Source organism: Homo sapiens, chromosome 8, assembly GCF_000001405.40.
Source record: "Homo sapiens chromosome 8, GRCh38.p14 Primary Assembly".
Classification (NCBI taxonomy): domain Eukaryota; kingdom Metazoa; phylum Chordata; class Mammalia; order Primates; family Hominidae; genus Homo; species Homo sapiens.
This window is the reverse complement of record NC_000008.11, coordinates 140,760,548-140,781,951: the sequence shown is the minus strand read 5'-3', so window position 1 is coordinate 140,781,951 and position 21,404 is coordinate 140,760,548. Positions and strand designations below refer to the sequence as shown.

General features: G+C 39.1%; 1 protein-coding gene across 173 annotated transcripts in view; it reads left to right on the top strand.

The window, feature by feature from the left end:
- Positions 1-21,404, top strand: part of PTK2 (protein tyrosine kinase 2) — a 344,180-nt gene that overhangs the window by 220,128 nt on the left and 102,648 nt on the right. For 70 of the 173 annotated variants that reach the window (NR_170671.1, NR_170672.1, NR_170673.1 and 67 more), the window contains 2 exons: positions 17,662-17,718; positions 20,690-20,787. Coding sequence is in view for 165 of the 173 variants with exons in the window: in NM_001352741.2 (NP_001339670.1) it covers positions 17,662-17,718; positions 20,690-20,787 (155 nt within the window). In the remaining 8 variants the exon portion in view is untranslated. Of the gene's footprint in view, positions 1-11,152; positions 11,237-12,359; positions 12,378-17,661; positions 17,719-19,563; positions 19,585-20,689; positions 20,788-21,404 lie in introns of all 173 variants that reach the window. The other 103 variants (NR_148039.2, NR_148038.2, NR_148037.2 and 100 more) reach the window with 5 other exon arrangements.

Below are 21,404 nucleotides of genomic sequence, written 5' to 3'. Positions count from 1 at the left end.
CTGCCTTCTTTCCGATAGCCCTCCCTCTCCCACCATTACATCATTCGAACTCCCTTTGCCACTGTTGAGATCGGGGTGTTCTTCGTAGTCATACCGTTTCTTCTCTGGGTTCTAAAGCAGTTGAAAAGAATACTTGGAGGTCATATAGGTTTTGAAATATCAGCATCGTATGTTGTAAAGAAGTATCCTGAAAAAGGACCCGGAACCACTCCTTCACCCTTGAGCTGAACTCGTCTCAGCTGCAGGCAGTGCAGACAGTGCAGACAGAAACTCACAGACCTCCCTGGCAAGGGGTAGCCTGAGGCACTTTCAAATTTTTAAAAAGGCCAAATGAAAAGCTGAGCAATAATGAGTACAACAAAAATTTAAAGTGGATTTTTGTTTTTATAAACTCTTCCCAGCCCACAGAAATCCAGCTCAGTCTTATAAATTTTGTTTCCAGAAGAGAGTATTCCCATCTTCTCCCAAGCAGCCCCCACGCTATAAAGGGGAAAAGACTATATGAGAGTATTAGAAACAAAAATGTATTTTTGTCTTTATAAAATAAATGCTTCACAGTTGGCAGTATTGGGTATACTTGGCTTATGAACCATCTTGATCCTCTGGCGAAACTTATTAACAATAATTAATAAACTTCTCAATCTTTTTAAAAAAATATATTATTAAAACACAAAAAGCCCAAGTATCATCATCTTACCAAATATAAAATAAATATTGCTAACATCAAAAGGCCCAGTTATTTTTTTCTTTGCAGAAAATAATTTTAAAGGGAATGCTTGAAAGTTTAAAATATAAATTCTAGAGTTTGACCTCAAGTCTTCCCCCACCCCGTTTGTAGCTTATAGCTATACAATAATTGTGGATTAAAATCAAACTGCATGAGTCAAGACAAAATATTTTTGATGCCTTTACAAAGAGGAGACCATGGAAATGAATAAATATTAAGTACCTACTATGCTTTTGAATTTTGAGTTTTTAAAACTTTTTATGGAAAATTTCAAGCATATACAGAAAAGAGAGAATAGAATTGTATCATGATTTTTCGTATCATCATCACCCAGATTCAGCAACTAAAAACTTCTGGCCAATTTTATTTCACCTCTGCCTCTGTCCACTTACATACACACATAATCCCTATTGGTTATTCTAAAGCAAATCGAAGGCATATTTCACCTGTAACTATTCCTAAAAGATGAGACTTTTTTTACAAAACATTATCAGCTATCCAGTCAGTGTTCAAATATCCCTGATTGTCCCATTTTCATATGTGGTTTCGTCTAAACAAGAATCAGACAAGAAGTACTTTGTGAATTTGCTTGAGTATCTCCTGTATGTGTCAGCTAGACCTTGTTGGTTGATTGTTACTAGTTGCAATTACTCTGTTGAAGAAATTGTGTCCCTTGTCCTATTCTCATATTCTGGATTAGGCTGATTACATCTCTGTGATGCTGTCTTGTTTAACCTATTCTTTTCTGGCCCGTTTATTTCCCATCAGCTGCTTGTTAGAACCTAAAGAAGTTTGATCCAGTTTGGGCTTGATTCCCCCCCTCCCCACAACAAGAATACTTCTTAGGTGATGTACATCTGGTTGTTCTTTGTGATGTTAAGACTAATCAATGGGTTTAGGTCCCATCACTCTCTGATCCATACATGAGAACGTTCCCATGAGCATTTCACCTAATAGTTTTAGCAGCTGTTGACATTAATGCTTAGATTTCATCAGAGGCCACAAAATGGCACCCTGTGAATCCTGTCATTTCTTCTCCCTTTGTTTAGCTGGAATGCTTCTAGAGACAGCGTTCCCTCACCAGCTGCTTCATTACCCTCGGGAGCAGGCTTCTCCTGGGAAGACAGGAACTGCCTTTTTCTTTTCCTTTATTTACCAGTTTTTAAAATAGTAAATTATACCTTGCTAGTCAGATGTCATTCTTTGAGATTTTCTTTTTAAAATATCAGTATGAATTTGTGTGTTTTTCACATTGTTGGAATAGGAGGTTCCCCCATGACCACCCCAGGTTGGATGATTACTGGGAAACCTGTTTGCTGGAACACAGAGTTCGGTAGTGTTCAGCTTTGTCAGCACCACACCCTCATGCCCAAGGAGAAGAATAGAATTGAGAGGTATGGTCAAAGGAAAATATCGCCTTACTTATGTAACTAGAAATAAAAAGGAAAATGCTGATCCAGTTGGACTAATCTCATTATGCTCTTTATCCCTATTCATACCTGTTCCTCCAGAAGCCCCAGACTCCCTTGTTGCTGGCATACCCTCTGCATACCCTCTGTTTTGTCTTTATTGCTCAGTTTCCCCCAACTTCTAAAACACTACACCTCTGTCTTCTGGGACTTCTCTATATATTCCTCTTTGTCACCTTCCTCTAACTAAAACTCTGGAGGGCACTGATACCCCTTGGTGCCTCTGTAACCCTACTGATGGTGTCTGAGAACCATGGTAGCACTAGGACTGGAGATGAGGTAAGGGTGCCCTGATTCTCATTGCCCCTTCCAGACTACTCTCCCTCAAAAACATGAGCTTTGAATCTCACATATCAGAACAAGGCTGTCCTATGTTCCTCAAAGTTCTGAGCACCCAGTTCACTGTCAGTGCTCCAGCATCCCCCATCGTAGTTTGGGAGGATTTCAATATTCATGGTAGGCAATTCCTCCAGCATGTCTTCTTTTTTTTTTTTTCTTTTTTTTTTTTTTCCATCGCCCAGGCTGGAGTGCAGTGGTGGGATTTCGGCTCACTGCAACCTCTGCCTCCCAGTTTCAAGCTATTCTCCTGCCTCAGCCTCCCGAGTAGCTGGGATTACAGGTGTGCGCCACCACACTCAGCTAATTTTTTTTATTTTTAGTAGCGACGGGGTTTCACCATGTTGACCAGGCTGGTCTCAAACTCCTGACCTCAAGTGATCTGCCCTCCTTGGCCTCCCAAAGTGCTGGGATTACAGGTGTGACCCACTGTGCCCAGCCCCAGCACCTCTTCTCTCCATTCTTCCAGTGGTGCTGTCTGCTATTTCTCTTTCCTGTGAGACCTACACTTTATCTACAACTATAACTCTCCTATAATTTCAATTTTAAGAAAACCCTCTCTGACTGCCACCTCCAATTTTTCTAGCTTGTCCTTGATCCCATCCCCATTCTGCTGTCTACATCACATTTTTTTGTCTTCTCTGGTTTCTTAACAAGCCTAAAACCCCTGATCAATAATTGTATCCTTCCCTGGCCTACATCCCCATCATCTCTGCCCTACTCGTTTGTTTGGTTTTAACTCACTTGGCCAAGTTAAAGCCAGCTCGTTCTGTCCCATGTCTGCTGTAGCACAACTGAACCGTAAAGCGAATAGCACAACCACATTGCTTTGGTCTTGCTTTCAATTCCATCTCACAGCCACTTTGAACCTTTCCTTAAACCTCCAGCATTTGCCAGCCATAAGTGCTGCCTGCCTTGATCTCACAATAGATGACTTGTCCTCACCCAGTTAGATCTACTACTTTTTTTGAGACAGAGCCCCTCTCTGTCACCCAGGCTGGAGTGCAGTGGTGCGATCTCGGCTTACTGCAATCTCCGCTTCCCGGGTTCAAGCAGTTCTTGTGCCTTAGCCTCCTGAGTAGCTGGAACTACAGATGCCTGGCTAATTTTTGTATTTTCGATAGAGACAGTATTTCTCCATGTTAGCTGGTCTCAAACTCCTGGCCTCAAGTGGTCCATGTGCCTCAGCCTCCCAAAGTGCTGGGATTACAGGCATGAGCCACCAGGCCCAGCCCAATTAAGTCTAATTTGTTACCAGTCTACCCTCTATCACTTGTTACCTGGTCAGGAATTTTCCCTGCTCTACTACTGTTAGTTTTTTTTCCCAACGTGCAGCAAGCCAATCATTGTGGCAACAGGTTTTGCCAAAGGGGAAAGATCTCATTCCCAAGGCTGCCGTGTGAGGAGATGAGAGAACAAATGTCAAATATGCCTCTCCAAAGATGAAGTTTTAGGGATATTTATGGGATAGAGGAGCAGGGCAGTTGAAGGCATGGGAAAAAGTGATTGGGTATAAGGAAAAGTGAGTTAATAAGTGATCTGCCCACACATAGTCAGGCTTCCTGACTCTTCATAGAACGCGTGTTCAGAAAATGGTAGCATTACCCTGATCTGAGGGAAGAGTTTTCAGCTCTCTGATGTCATATGGTCATCTCTCCTGCATTGGCATAAGCCCATTTGAAGGATTGGTGGCCTCAAGCTGCTTGAGCGGGACAAGAGCTGCCCCCTACTTCCTGAAAAACAACTTAAAGCACCCATTACTGCAGTGACCTACAGGAAGCTAATGGGAGTTTAGTTATGGATTGTCTGGCTATTTGACTTGCTAGTGGGAGTTTTTAGATCTAAGCGACTAAAAGCAACTGATATCATTTGGATATTTGTCCCTGCCCAAATCTCATGTTGAAATGTAATCCCCAGTTTTGGAGGTGGGGCCTGGTGGATGGTGCTTGAATCATGAGGCAGATCCCTTATGAATGGCGTGGGCCGTTCCTTTGGTGATGAGTGAGCTCTGGCTCTTAGTTCACATTAGAACCTGGTCCTTTGAAGTATGTGGCTTTTCCCCACCCCACCCCTTGCTCTTGCTTTTGCTGTGTGATGTGCCTGCTCCCTCTTCACCTTCTGCCATGATTGTAAGCTTCCTGAGGCCTCCCCAGAAGCCAAAAAGATGTCAGCACCATGCTTTCCATGAAGCTGGCAGAACTGTGAACCAATTAAAACGTCTTTTCTTTATAAATTACCCAGTCTCCGGTATTTCTTGATAGCAATACAATAATGGCCTAATACAGCAAACAAGGCAGGTTAAGTTTGGCAGGCTTAATCAGGTTAGCTCTGGTTTCATTAGCACATCACCCACTGTGGTTTCCCCGCCTTAGTAGCCCCCTTCTGACATCACTGGTCCGCTTATGATAGAAGAACTCTTTATGTGAGTTATTGCGATTCAGTGTTGCTCCTTATTGAAATTGCCCTGCTTTTGCTTCCAGAATACCATATTCTTCCTACTTCACTCATTATTCAGCACTTCGCGCCTGAGGATCCCAGGACTCAGTTCTTCTGACACTTTGTGTCAGCCACAGTCACACCCTTGGGGATCTCATTGTGTTTCATGACTTAATTATGCTGCTGACTCTCAGATTGTTATCTTAGTTTTTCAGACTTCTTTCTTGAACTCCAGACCCGTGGCCACTATGTTCTCGCCATGTGGAATCTGATGTCTCATAAGCATTTCAGACTTAATATACTCAAAAGGAACTGATATTCACGCCAAGCCTGCTTCTCTCCCCTTCTCCACTCACTAAATGGCACTACTTTCCTTCTGGCTGGTCAGATTATCCTTGGGGTTATTTTTGATGCTATTCTTTGTTTTCTTCTCCCATATCCAATCTATTAACAAATCCAAATTGCTCCTGCAAATAAACTCTGTACTTATATTAATTTTGCCTAAGTTTTTTCCTTTAGGGTTTACACTGGGAATATATTTAGAAGACCAAGTCATAGATTGAAGTTGTCCTATATAGGTACTCTGATTAGCAGCAATTACAAGTGGATTTGTAAAGGAAAAAAGAACAGACAGTTCTTAAATTGTTTACCAAAAATTGGCATTAAAATAATGTAACTATTGGCCAGGTATGGTGGCTCACACCTTTAATGCCAGCTCTTTGAGAGGCCGAGGCGGGCGGATCACCTGAGGTCAGAAATTCCAGACCAGCCTGGCCAACATGGTGAAACCTGTCTCTATTAAAAATATAAAAATTAACCAGGTGTGGTGGCGGATGCCTGTAATCCCAGCCACTGGGGAGGCTTAGGCACGAGAATCACTTGAACCTGGGAGCCGGAGGTTATAGTAAGCAAGATCACGCCACTGCACTCCAGCCTGGATGGACACAGCAAGACTCTCTCAATGAGAATAATAATAATAATAAACTATTGATTGTCCATTGTTCTTTATATCACAGATTCCAGGAATGTGAAGATAATATTTTAGTGGTTTAGGTGCAGGGGCGAAGATACCCTTAAAAATGGTAATTTCCTTTATAGGTGTAAATTTCTCTGACAGAGGATTTCAAAATAAGCAGCTAAATGTCAGAAAGTTGTATTTTGGAGACTGATTTATTTTGATAGGTGTCCTTTTCAACTTAGCTTGTTTTTTAATTAGATTACTGACTTCAAGTTGGAGCCCTTTAATGAACTGGGCAAATAAAGCATTTGCAGTTTTCAGGGCCTAGTATTTAAATATTTGAAAAGCAGGCATAGCTGGAAGGCCCAGCATAAAAATCAAGGGCCTGGTATGGTGGCTCACACCTATAGTCCCAGCACTTCAGGGAGGCCGAGGCAGGCAGATTTCTTGAGCCCAGGAGTTAGAGACCAGCATGGGCAACATAGCAAAACCCCGTCTTAAAAAAAATCAAGGACCCCACTTTTTGTTTTTGTTTTTTTTTAAGGCAGGGTCTCACTCCGTTGTCCAGACTGGAGTGCAGTGGCGTGATCTTGGCTCACTGCAACCTCCATCTCCCGGGCTCAAACAGTTCTCACACCTCACCCTCCCAAGTAGCTATGACTACAAGCACACACCACCACGCCTGACTAGCTTTTGTATTTTTGTAAAGAGAGTATTTTGCCATGTTTCCCAGGCTGGTCTCCCAACTCCAGAGCTCAGGTGATCTGCCCACCTCTGCCTCCCCTAGTGCTGGGATTACAGGCATGAGCCACCATGCCTGGTTCCCACTTTTACATTGAATCCTGGTTCCCCCGAAAGAGGGAAATACCATGGTGTTACCTGAAAGGAGTTCTGATCCAGACCCCAAGAGAGGGTTCTTGGATCTGGCTGAAGAAAGAAGTTGAGGCAAATCCATAGGGTAAAATGAAAGCAAAGGAATAAAAGAATGGCTACTCCATAGGCAGAGCAGCAGTGTGGGCTGCTGGACTAAGGATACTTACAGTTATTTCTTGATTATATTCTAAACAAGGGGTGGATTATTAGTGAGTTTTCTGGGAAAGAGGTGGGCAATTCCCAGAACTGAGGGTTCCTCCCCTTTTTAGACCATACAGAGTAACTTCCTGACCTTGCCATGGCATTTGTAAACTGTCCTGGCATTGGTGGGAGTGTCTTTTAGCATGCTAATGCATTATAATTAGCATATAGTAAGCAGTGAAGATGACTGGAGGTCACTTTTGTCACCATCTTGGTTTTGGTGGGTTTTGGCCAGCATCTTTACCACAAGCTGTTTTATCAGCAAGGTCTTTATTATGACTTGTATCTTCTATCAACCTCCTGTCTCATCCTGTGACTTAGAATTCCTGACCTCTTGGGAACGCAGCCCAGTAGGTCTCAGTCTTATTTTACCGAGCCCCTATTCAAGATGGAGTTGTTCTGGGTCGGATGCCTCTGATAATAGGACCACGCTACACAATGTTCCACAGTGTTCCATGCTGGAGAGACACTCCTGTGATGCTGATGGGTGACCCAACACCAATCAGCCCATTCTGCCATCTTCCATAGGAGTCTTACCCGTTGGTGGTGAGTGTTTCCTTAGCCTCCAAGTGTTCAAACTGCTTTTCTTATCTAAATGTGTAGAGAAGTAAGTAGCCCTCTGCAGTTATAACCATTCACTGTGACCACTGTCAGCCACTCCAAAACTGCAGCTTTTGCTGGTGACTTGCCAATTGATCACACATTGCCACACATACAAAGTTCAAGTTCTCCCTCACAGTATGGAGTAATCCCTGTACCGCAAAAGCCAAAGAGAACAAGTAACTCAGTACAAAAGAGAGCAGAGAATGAGAAGAGTGACATCGTCTGTCATTTTTCAAAGGCTTCCTGGGAGCCTTCTAAAAGGGAATAGGTAGGATTGCAGTAAGCTAGTTGAGACTGAGGTAAATCTGAACCAGCGTAATCACATAGAAAGTTGGACTGGTGAGAAAGGAAAAGCTGCTCAGAGCAGCCTGAGGTATGTGAGGTCTGCAAAATTTATCAGTCCCAGAGAGGCAGGAGTATGGGGCTTCAGTCATGCCCTCCTCACCCCTATCCTGCACCCGGGCCCGGAGCAATTGTTGAAAGGCATTTTTTTCTTGACTAGTGGCCTTACCCATTATCTTCACATTCCTAGAATTTGTGAAACAATGTAGGAACTCTCTCTTTTCCTTTAAAAGGAAACAATATTCTGAATGACTCTTGACATCATTTAGAATAAAAGCCAGTGCCCTTACCAGGAGCTAAGAGGTCTTAGACACTCTGGGACCTCACTGAGTGCATCTCAGTGCCACCTCCCCCTTCCCACTCCCAACTCTTCATCCACCTCACCTGACCTCCCTGCTGCTCCTCAGCACGTGTTCACACTGACCTCTGCAGAGCCAAGGCCTGTGTGTGTGCTGCCTGGCCTCCCCTGATGTGTGCATGGCCCTTTCCCTCTCCTCCTGGAAGTCTTTGCAGATGACTCCCTCCATAATCACCATATTTAAAATGGTAGCCCCACTTGAAAATATTCCTTCTGCTGGTTTTTCCCTAGCACTTACATGTTGACATGCCATAAAATTTACTTATTTTATCTTCCTTCTCCCTTACTAGAACGTAAGCTCAATAATTTGAAAGTTTGGGTTTCTATTTTGTTCACTGTTCTAACTCCAGCACCTACATGGTATGCCTAGTTTATGGCAGGTGTTCAATAATTAAAATGATTATCTTGAATACAATAAAAGTCCTAATCCTTTTTGTTTTTGTTTTTATGATGTGTGATAATATTCTTGGTATTACTCAAAAAGAGTTGTACTTTTTTAAAAAATTCACTTTTTAAGTTAGTATAAAGAATATTCAGTCCAGTTTAGAAATGAACAGTAGAAAAGTAAGAAGAGCTAGCACTTGTGGAGTGGTCACTCTGTTCTGGGTGCCCAGAGAATCCCATGGAATCCTTTCCCAACCTCCTTAATGGAGGTAGCTTCTGTTATAACCCCATTTTACAATAAGAAAACTAAGCAACAGAAGTTGAGCAGTGTATCCAAGGTCAGAATGAATAATTGAGCCAGTATTTGAATCCAAACTGTCTGGCCCCAGAGCTAGTGTTCCATATATCTTTTATTTTTCTGTAACTTTACGCTTGGAGAATAGTTGTAAGAATAGTAACGTGATGTCTCATATGTTCTTTCCTCCATTTCACTATATTTATATTTTGGCTCACTTGCTTTATCACTCTATGGGTTTTTTGTTGTTGTTGTTGTTGTTAGTTTTTTCCTTGAACCATGTGAAAACAAGTTACAGACATGGTGCTGCTTATAAACATTTCAGTGTGTGTTTAAGACCAAAGATATCATCTTATGTGATCAGAGTATAATTATCAAAATCAGGAAATTTAATACTGAAGAAATGCTCTTATCCGCAGTCTAAATTATTTCATACCAGTAATGTTCCGTATCGCTGTTGCTTCCTGATCTTTCCCTTCCCCAGCCTCCAGTCCAGAATTCATCCTGCATCACACAGTGCATCCAGTTGTCAGGCCCATCTTGGCGAGACAGGGTCTCCCTCTGTCGCCAGGCTGGAGTTCAGAGGCTCTGCTTCTGTGGTCCAGGCTCTACCTCCTGGCTCCAGCAGTCCTCCCAACTCAGCCTCCTCAATAGCTGGGCCCACGGGTACGTGACTCCACACCTGGCTAATTTTTGAATTTTTTTGTAGAGACAGGGTCTTGCTATGTTACACAGGCTGGCAGGCCCATCTTCTTAACTGAGAGACCAGTTTATGCTTTCCTCTAGGGCCATCATATACAAAGTCCAGAAATTTAGTGTGTGTAAAGGTAGCTTTTAAGTCAAGCAATAAGATGAAATTGTCAGTAAATGTTACTGGGATCGGCCGGGCGCGGTGGCTTATGCCTGTAATCACAACACTTTGGGAGGCCAGTGTGCGCAGATCACCTGAGGTCAGGAATTTGAGACCAACCTAGCCAACATGGTGAAACCCTGACTCTACTAAAAAAAAAAAAAATACAAAAATTAGCTGGGCTTGGTAGCAGGCGCCTGTAATCCCAGCTACGCGGGAGGCTGAAGCAGGAGAATCGCTTGAACCCGGAGGCAGAGGTTGCAGTGAGCCAAGATCGTGCCATTGCACTCCAGCTTGGGGGAGAAGAGCGAGACTTTGTCTCAAAAAAAAAAAAAAAAAATGTTAATAGGATCAAAGCATACCGTTTGAAAAATATTACTGAAGTGTACATTTCTGTTCTCATTTCTGTTGCTAATATATTGACAATGTCAATAAGATTGTTACCATCTTGATGGGCAAACAGTCCTGACCCTTGTTCTTGGGTCCATACTTCTGATCTTTCTTTATGATACCCCGTGAGTATGCAGTTAAATGTTGATGTTACCTGTGTCTGTCATTTGTTAATGACTGCTGCATCTTAAAGGGCTACATCCCTGCATCCCTGGCTTTGACTTCACTTTCACACTTGTCCACTATTGCCATTACCATACTGCAGTTGCTGCTTATTTTCTCATTTTGCTATATGCTTCTGGAGAGCTGAGATGTGTTTTATCGATCCAGCTTTTTGACTCTAAAATGAGCTTTGAGTACATGAATGAGTGAGCAAATGAATCCGTAATGCTAGTAGAGGTTTTGCAACCTGTGTTTTCAAAGATCCTCATCGCCAGTTTTTATGTTAAGGTAATTTATGTAAAGTATATAACTCAAGAGCTGTGAGTGTGTCTTTGCTAATGATTTGGGGAAAGTTGTTCGTAAAACTCTTTCACAAATGAAGATCTGCTATTTTTCTGCTATGGTTGAATGTTAAATGTTCACAAGAGTCTTGAATTATTTATTGGTCTTTGTTTTTTCCTGTGACTGTTGTCATTTGGAAAAATATCTGAATATTCAACTGGCTGGCTCTACAGAGCTGGGAGATTCTTACGTCTTGTTTCTGTATCAAGTGCTAATCTACAGGAAATTAAATTTAAAAATATTAGTATGTTTTTTAAAACTCAAGTCAATCATAGTAAGAAATAAGGCATGCCAATAGTCAAAATAAAAGCATTGCAATTTTGTATCTGTTTTTATAGATAAGCCTTTAAATGTAACAAAAGTTGTCTTTTGTATTGAAATAATTTGTTTCTATTTTTCTCTTTCCCCTCTTGCCTCTTTATAAAGGAGTCAGTCACTGCCAACATAAAGTTAAGAAAGCTAGGCGCTTTCTCCCTTTGGTCTTCTGTTCCCATGATCCTCCTTCTACGGGTACTGCACTCATATTTGCACAGGCTCTCCTATTAACCAGAGCACTCCAGAGAAACTAACTCTAACCTGATGCTTATAGATTATCCTGAACAGATCATAGCTTTATTGAATATTAGTGTATGTGCTGTTCATTGTTCAGAAGCAATAAGGGGATTGGGGTGGGGGCAAGGTTTTATGTCACTGTTTTTGGGTTACTCTCTTGAATACAAGATTTTTTGTTTGCCTGTTTGCTGGTTTTTAAATGCATGACAGGGCAAGAAGTCGCTTCTCAGTTTCATTTGTGTTGTTTGAGTGTTTTCCCACAGAGGTCAGCAGGATCACACTTTTTGCATCATGGATTTCCTAATATAGCATGCAACTGAATGAAGGAGAATGGCCAAAGTGACTCCCTAGTTGTCTGCTTTTCATGCTTTGGGGACAGATATTTAGGGCTGCTGCATAGTAGAGGCAGCTATGCCATTTGGAGCATTTTCTAGGAAAGCAAAGATTATTTATAATAATTGAAACAGTAATTTCTCCAGACTATTCAAAACAAAATTTATTCTGTGCAAACTTAAATGGGAACCTTCGTTGTCAGCAGAGCTTCAAGTACTGCACTCCCCACAGTTTATAGTAGTGGGCCTGGCCTATGTCTACCTTATAATATTTAAATCCCACTGGCTTATTGGAATGGGCTTGCTGAGGGCTTATTCTCTTCTTGTAACTAAACATACAGATTAATGACTAGTTTGTTTGCATTTTTATCTGAGGGGACACAAGTTCCCTTTGAGGAAGGTAGAAACCATTTTTAAAATTTAATTGTAAGAGGCAGTCAAATTAACTTTGCTTAGTGTGGCAGAATCCAGTTTACACTCTGTAATACTTTAGCTGTGTAACTTCATGTAATACATTGACAGCTTTAAACTTAGCATTATGCCCTCAAATTCAAGTAAACATACTACCACTACAGTCTTTCTTTATCTTTTGAATTAAACCCTGGGGGGTAATTGTTTTTTATTTTTCTTACACTTTGGTTTACTTGTCATTTTAATAGTGTTTTCCCCTCTCTTCCCTCTTCTCCTTCCTATGTCTCCCTCCCTCTGTTCCCTACTTCCCTTTCTTTGCATGCCACCCGGATCTGCAGATGAAATTAGTGGGGACGGTAATATTTATTTTCACATTTGTGTTACTGCTATGAGATAATTATTTATGAAAATAAATATAGTTTAGTATTTAATGAAAGGCAAAATGTGCTTTTGATCCAACAGAACCAAGTACAAAATGGTATGCAAAATATTTTAAAAATTGCTTAGGGCTTTGGCATGGAAAGGATAACTATCAATTTCTTAATCACATTTTAGTGGTAAGTTTGAGTTGTATGTATTCCTAGTAAATTTCCTAGATTTCATTATTAAAACTTTGAGAGTTCTTAAAAAATGTCAAAAGCAAAATTAGTAACACTTGAAAGCTGTAAATGGTAGCGGTCCATACACTCTGTTTCCCAAGTGTGGTATCTGTGTGATAATTCTTAGTTTGGGAATGAGATAGTAGAAAGGAAAGAATGAAAAATGATTTTAAAGACTCACAGAAACTAACGGAATTAGGGAAATATCAGCAATAATGATAATTGGTTTTTCAAATAGTTGATAGCACTTAAGGTAGAAATTTAAAAATTTTAAATCACATTCTATGTCTTACATTTCCCATCTACTTCATATACTGCTTGCATGAAACTTTATCCTCCTTTATACTAAAGGAGTAAGATTTTATAAACTAAAATTAAGAAGGAATTGTATTTTTTTCCTCCTGATTAAATGAAAGAATGCTTTTACTGAAGATTTCACCTATGTTCATTTTTGTAATAGGATAGAGATATTGATAACGAGTATAACGAGCTAAGCAGTTTCAGTAAAAGGTCTTAAAAGTGCGTGTTTTTCACAGGATTTGAGGTCAGAGATTTGAGCTTCATTTTTAGATTAATTCTGTGATAATAATCAATTAGCAGCTGCAATTCATCTAGAGCTTTCTGCATGTGACACTTTACTGACTTGATTCCTAATTCTCACAGCAGTCATTCAGAATATCACTGGGTATTGTCCTCACTGTTTTGCAGGTGAGGAAAGTGATAATCAGAGGATTAAGAGAGACTCTAAGGCTGCTAGAGGCAAGTGGTCAGGTCTTAGGCTCCAGCCTTGCCCTTTTTCCACTGCCCCATCCAGTCAGCAGCTGACTAGCTGAGGGATTACAAGCAAATTGCTTCATCTCTTGGGTCTTCATCTGGGAAAGGTCTCAAGTGGTTGTTGTGAGGATTACTCTGTAAGCATCAAAATTTAGATAAATGTCTGCAAACACTTGTATGTATTTTCCCACCTATGAATTTCTCAATACTATGAATTAGCCAGGGCAAGTGTACTTAACCCATTTTACAGGTGAATAAGCTGAGCCTTAAGGGTAGTCACTTGGTCTTGGTCAGTAAGGCCCATGGACCAAATATGGCCCACCTGTTTTTGTATGCTACCGTTTCTTGCCTGTGAAATAGGGATGGTGATCATAGTACAACTTCAAATAATTTTGCTGAGGATTAAATGACAATATATGTAATTATTTACAACAGCATCTAGTATATGGTAAGCTCCCAATAATATGATTAGTAGTCAATGTCATTATTAAATATAGAATGCAGACCTAGCTTCATTTGTGCCCAGGCCTTTGAACTTGTTTCCTTTTTTCTTTGTATTTTCCTTATCTTTTGAATTAACCCTTGGGGGGTAATTTTTCTGTTTTCCTTAAACTATGTTACACTAACATGTGGAGGGCCCAGGAAGTTTCAGACTGTACTCCAATTTTTAGGGCCCTTGAATATGTAAAAATACCTATCATATCAGTGTAATACTATCTTAACAATCCTAAAAACCAGGAAAGAAAAGCAAAATACAGCCAAATCAATGTCAAGAATTCTTGGGAAGGCTGGGTGCAGTGGCTCCTGCCTGTATTCTCAGCATTCTGGGATTACACTTGAGTCCAGGAGTTTGAGACCAGCGTGGGCAACATGGCAAAACCTCATCTCTACAAAAGGTACAAGAAATTAGCAGGCATGGCGGCGCGTGCCTGTAGTTCCAGCTATTTGGGAGGCTGAGTTGGGAGGATCACTTGAGCCCAGGAGGTGAAGGCTGCAGTGAGTCAAGATTGCACCACTGTACTCCACCCTAGGCGACAGAGCAAGAACCTGTCTTCAAAAAAAAAGGAATTCTTAGAAATATACACCAGATATTACCATACATATGAAACTCATATATAGAGGGTTATAAACTTTTGCAGATCATTTACCTGCAACATTGTTGATTTTACTCCATGAATTCTCTATTCACATTGCATCATAGTACACACACCTGCAACCCAAATATAAGTAATTCCTAGACAGCTTTGATACATCCCCAGAGATTTTATGTACAATTCATCCAGCTAAAAAAAAAAAAGAAAGAAATTTACAGGTTTTCTCTTGTGATTGTATGAATTAATTGAAATGTATGCAACATGATATTTTCCACAATGTGTGCTAGCCTGATATATATTAGCCTATTTATTTTACTCCTTCACAATTATTTTAGAGGTTGGTATCTCTACTGAGGATTTTATAAAATGAGACAGTCCTTGAAGGACTGCTGTCAAACCAAAAAGATTGGCTGAGAGTATCAGCACACAGGAATCCTAAATCCTCAACTGCCAGGTCCCTTTCAGAGAGCCCTCAGAAGAAGCAAAACAATCAGAGGAGTTACTGTTGCTTGATGATCTGTTATGTGTAGGGCACATCTCAACTTTCTGTCATGTCTCCTGTAATCCTCATAACAGTGCTACAAGGCAGATGATGTTATTTTACCCACGAGGGCACAGCTGAAGCATTGCCAGGTGAAGTGACTTTCCAAAGCTCAAGCAGTTTTCCCCAAATGGGCTTGTGTATTTTGTCACGTGTATTGCAGCTCTACCATTCACTTCTGTGCTGCCTCACACAGATTAAATCCTTTGCCTCAGTTTCTTAGGGGTATAGCGTTCCTTTACTGATTGTTGCAGTGCATTCATTCTTTTGGTTTAGCATGTGTTTCTTGAGGGACCTTCTCTGTGCTAGACACTGTTTTAGCTGCTGAGGACACAGTGTTGAGCAAGATACGTGAAGGTTCCACTCTGGTGGCTGTTCCATTCTAGAGAGGTGGGCATACAGTTCACAGGAAACAAAATTATATCAGGTTGTTATAGGTAATGAGGAAAATGAGTCAGGGAACATGATTAAGAACAGTGGGATGGGGGCAAATTAGTCTGAGGAGAGGTCTCTGAATAGGTGGCTAAAACCAGAATTGGCTCTAGGCCAGCATAAGCTTTGGTGCATGGTAAAGCCCTCAGTTGGAGGTCACTGCCACTGGTGTTAGCAGCAGCTTTATGCCCTTCTTCATTAAGGCAGTAGACACCTGTCACCTGATAGACTTGGGCTTCTGAACAGGCTTTTAATGAACTTTGCAGCCATATGAAGCTGTGGTGACAAGTGCAAAACATCTGCTTCGTAACACCATGAGCTACGTGCAGGGTTGTAGAGACTTTTCAGCAGTTTGGATAACAGGGCAGCTGGGGAAGGGAAGCAGAGGTGCAGAGTTTGAGTGGCTCTCCCAAAATCCTGCTGCAGCAGGGCCAATTCATGTGCTTTACTCCTAAAGGCACGTGCTTTATATGAAAGGAAGCAGTGAGGGTGCTAGGGCTGTTGTGTGGAAAGACAGCTTTAGTTGCATTCATTTTCTGAGGAGAGTATCACAAAGTTGAGCGTGTTAAACTATGGAATCAAAAGAGAAATGATTGCAAATGGCCATTTGTGTGGCTTCTGTTGCCTTAGCTGTTAGAGTAGATTCCTCCCCTGCTTAGTCTTTTTTGTTGCAAGTGTGTTAGCAGCTTCCTTCCGTCCCCAAATTTTCTTTCACAGGGTGTTTTGATAAGCCATCTTACACAGAAGCAGAGCTATAGGCCTACAGATGCCAATTTACTGTTCTTAGTATTTGCTGAAAACAGATTAAGAGGGAGAATACAGAAATAAAAGAATGTATGATTTGGAGTCTATTAAAACTTTTTTAATCTTTTAAGTATTCTTATAAACGTATAAGAATAATATAGATTATCTGCCTGTCATATAGGACTTAGGAATAGTTTACAGATAATAACTGTCTTAAAGAGAATTGATTTATTGGTGTTATAATCTGCTTCCCCAACTTTTTTTTTTACTGTAATCACTTTTAATGATGATTACATAATAAGAAGTGAATTCTTCCACTTGTAGATTTGATCTCAGTCATTACCATAGATGTGGAATGATTGATATCCCAGTGACTGTAAACCATATATATTCTCTATTTGCTTTGAATTCTGTACCTTTAATATCTGAATGCAGTAATAAGGCGTCACAGAAGAAAGAACTTGTAGCTTTTCGTTTCATTGGTGTTAAACAAGGATGCTAGGTCAAAGTATCAAAATAGAGCTCCTTGGAAATGATGCATCACAAAGTCCTGTCCCTGCTTTACTGACTCACAAGAATGGCCCAGCAGTTAAAATCCTTATACATGGAGCAGCTGAAGATTTTCGTTTTTCTAGAAAGAGAAAAAAGACAAGGCTGAAGTGATTTTTTCAGTATAGGTGTTACCACATGAGTGACTGTTTTCTTCAGATGGGTATTTTTAAATTTCCCATTAATATAGTGGTGGACTTTTAAGTTGGTGTATTACCCAAAAAGAGTAGGTAGATACATTGGAACTTCTTGACGTGATCTCAAAAAACCTCATTGTAATATGCTGCTTATTCTCCTTTTTTTCTTTGTAGATCTGCCCTTTTGACATTAATGCCTAAAATATCTGAGTTTAAAAGTTAGGAAACAAATTCCTGTTGCATTTCTCAACCCTGAGCAAATGGAATGAATTAGCACAGTTAATCTCAAAAATTAGGTACCATTTATTTTCTAAAGGTTCCGTTCAGATTATGCTGTCAAGTCTAATTGTTAATAAAATCAGATACCGTGTTTTATAGATACCAGTCTTATTTGGAGAAAGCCCAGTAGACAACTGTAGTTTTAAACATGTATTTGGTGTAGTTGAGGAAGAGCTTTGCGGTTGGTAGATTGGTTAATTTGAAGCATATACATAGTTGTTTCATGTCGTTCTGTTTTTTACAAGGGCTTTCTGTGTTAGCCCTGTTTGCTCTCCGATAAACAAGTCTGTGTATTATAACGTATTGGACAATGATGTCACTTTTATTTCCATAAATGACTCATGTGTGAGCAAAATTTGAGTAATAGTGTTTTAAGAATATTTCAGCGTAGTAGAGGATTTAAGCAGATCGCTTTGCCTACTTTAATTATATGAAATACCAGGAGGTCAGATGTTTAACCTCTTTCAACATATCTGTTTCTTTTCCTGCAGAAACAGATGATTATGCTGAGATTATAGATGAAGAAGATACTTACACCATGCCCTCAAGTAAGTAAACTTCTGATTTTGTTCTTGCTCAGACTTGACAGATGCCTCCTTGCATTTAAAAGTTATTGATACTTACTGTCTTTTTAGAGCCATTTTTAATACTTCCTTGGATGCTGAACAGAAATATTCTTTTCAACCTTTACCATTCTATATTACTTACATATGCCCACTCTAAGGTCAGAAGCCTAAAACTCAAATATCTGTAATAATTTTTAGTTACAGGATTTTTGTAATCTTGTTTTCTGACTCTATCATAATAGAACCTTTATTGATTAGGGTATTTTCTGTCTGTAGAAAATTAGTATTATTGGTTAAGTATATATGTGAATGTGTGTGTATATACACACACAATATATATATCCATATATGTATAATACACATACATACACACACGTATACCCATACTTTCACACACATATATTCAAAAATTTGCATTTTCCCCCTTTAAATTGTTTATTCTTTGTTGCCATTGACTAACCAATACAAATAGCTCATAACCATCGTCAGTTTGTACACCTCAGGGATGGGAGGTGTGGGGAGAGAAACAGAACTCTTAAAGGACCTTCATACAGCCTGGAAATGTCAAGATTCTGCTTCTCTCTGTGATGTGCAGCTTGTTGATTAAGGAAAATCTTGAAGCCCCAGGTCTCATGTTGGAGTGTATAGTCTCCAGATCTTGAATTAGATAAACTCTTGAAATTTCATTTGCAAAAAGAAATTTATTTCTTAATTTCATTTTCTTATTTTTTTAATGTTCCAGACAGTACTGACTTGAGTATAAAAAAAAAAATTAAACCTGCCTTTTAAAGAGTCTTCAGAAGTCTTAGAAATTAACTCAAAATCTGAATGTCCTGATTTCAGTAGAGCTATATATATTTGTAAAATAAATGTTATAGGTGCCTTATTCTATAGTATAAATATTCTTGTAAATATTCTTGTTTGGATTTTCTGTATACATTGAGGAAGCATTACCGGAATGAAGAGAAACAACCCAGTGTTGCCTTTCAAGTGTGCATTGTGCCCTGTGGGCCCATGTCCCCTTTCAGGAGCTTCTTGACTAGAGAGTTACTCGAAAGAGGCCAGAGCTGAAACTTGTGTGTACATTTTGATTGCCAGTATCAGTTTGGAAAAATGTTTAAACTTAGGTTTAACTTTTTGGCATGGTGGCGCACATCTGTAATCTCAGCACTTTGGGAGACAGAGGCAGGAGAATTGTTTGAGTCTAAGAGTACGTTACCAACCTAGGTGACATAACAAGATCCTGTCTCTACCAAAAACAAAATAAATTAGGCAGGCGTGGTAGCATGCACCTGTTGTTTCAGCTACTCAGGAGGCTGAGGTGTGAGGATTGTTTGAGCCTGTGAGGTCGAGGCTGCAGTGAGCCCTGATTGCACAACTGCACTTTGGCCTGGGCAACAGAGTGAGACCCTGTCTCAGAAAAACAAAAAAAGAAAAAAAAAACACCAAAACACTTGTTTACTTTTTTAATTAGCCATATAGACACTTGTACATTCCTGCAGATAATCCAGTTTTTATTTGTATATTTATTATTTATAGTTGAGCAGTAAATGTCCAACATGGCTTTCATCCATACCTGACAAAAATAAGTTACAGGAACTTGATGAGATAGGAACTTAAAAGCATTGTTTAACTAACATTGAGTTAACTTGAAGATATTTAGTTTTTACTTGTATTTAGTTCTTTAAAATTCATATTTGTGCTTAAAATATTTTAAAAATTAAGTATTGTTGAAATATTCTCTTCAAGTTTGTGTTGTTAACCTAATTGCTGTTAGTTATTTCTAAGCAAGGTCTTCAATTTTTTTCTCTCTTAATTGCAATACAGAAAGCTATGGAATAGATGAAGGTAACAGGATTCCTTTAAATTAACTGCATTTGCTTGCAATTGCAACCTGTGGAGTGATATGGGATGTTTCAGTTTTTGGTTAACTTATTTTTAAACTATTTGTCATTGGTTTACTTATACTGTTAAATCAATGGAACTACTAGCTAAAGTGATTTTAAAGAGGAAAATAACTGTCTAAATTTTGGGTTGAATGTTCTGTGTTGTTTATAATTTGATAAACCAGGGAGAACATGTAAAAATATTTGGCTCTTGGTGTATTTCATTGGTGATTACACTACTGGAATATATATGCAATAACCTATGGAGATGAGTTTCTTACCTGAAATAAATCAAAATACCAAGTAGTAAATGGGTTATAATTGAATCTATTACATTCTTAATGGGCATTTTCTTTCCATGTGCCTCAAAAACCTACTGAATAATCGATTTTGTATATTACAATAACAGTATATTAATTTGAGGCACATGGTCTCAAAAGTATATTTATGATTTATAATGTTGATACATCCAACCTTGATTCTGAGTCATCTAACTTTGAAATTAGTTTTAAGAAACTACCTCTTTAAACTCTTTTAGCTCCATGAGTAATGTAGAGATAGGATTATCATAAAGTGGAAAACTCTTAAACTTTCAAAACATAAAGTTTACTTATGACATAATTTTATGTTGCTTCCATATTTACAAACTGTAGTTATTTGTAAAATAATTGCTTTAATAACTGTGCTTTTATAGCCTTCATATATTAATACCTAAACTAATAGTTCTTAATAGTTAAGCATATAATTTAATAGTTGGGGCAATTATTTAGAAAACTATCAAATAGATATAAAATAAATCGGAAATTTAAAAACTCCTAGGAACAACATGAAAAATATCTACCTTTAGTAGAACTCATTGTTTCAGTAGTTCTTCTAATACCATAACTAATTACATGAATTCCTGTTAAAATATTGTTTAAGAGAATTCCACTGTGTTTAAAGCATTTTCATAGATTGATGTGCCACAGATGAAATTTTACTTATGGATGATCAAGAAATACGTCAAGTGTTATTTCTACATTTGGAATATTTTACTTAAGTATTGATGTGTGAATTATGTTTTACAGCCAGGGATTATGAGATTCAAAGAGAAAGAATAGAACTTGGACGATGTATTGGAGAAGGCCAATTTGGAGATGTACATCAAGGCATTTATATGAGTCCAGTAAGTCTTTTAAGACTACCAAACAACTAGACTAATTTTGACTATTTAAGTTTAAATTGCTTTTGTTTGTCTTCATGAGTCCTTAGTTCTTCTAGGTATTAATATTTACGGGTGTCTTTTATAAAGCTCTTCATAAATGTCAGCTTATACTTGGCGTATTCAGAAACCAAAAAATGGCAACATTAGCTCCTACAAGGCTGGGCCTGTCTTTTATTCATTTTAATCTTTCAGCCTTTGTCATCAGTAACAGTTTTTATAGGTGACTGTTCTTTGGATGGAATTAGCAAATCAGATGAGAGTCAGAAACAGCCAGTATACCTATTTACCTGCATTTTTGAGAAAGAAATGTTAATTTGCCCCAGTTTACCCTCCAAAAAAGATGAATAAATTTTAAAAATGATTGCTTTAATAATAGCTTAATGAAGTATCATTTGCTTACTATGAAGTTCACTCTTTTGAAGTGTACAATTCAGTGCTTTTCAGTGTATTCACAAAGTTGTGCAGCTATCACCACTGTCAATTGGAACGTTTTCTTCACCTCAAAAAGAAACTTTATACCCATTAGCAGCAGTTACTTCCCATTCCACCCTTCCCCAGCCTTTGGCAGCCACTCATCC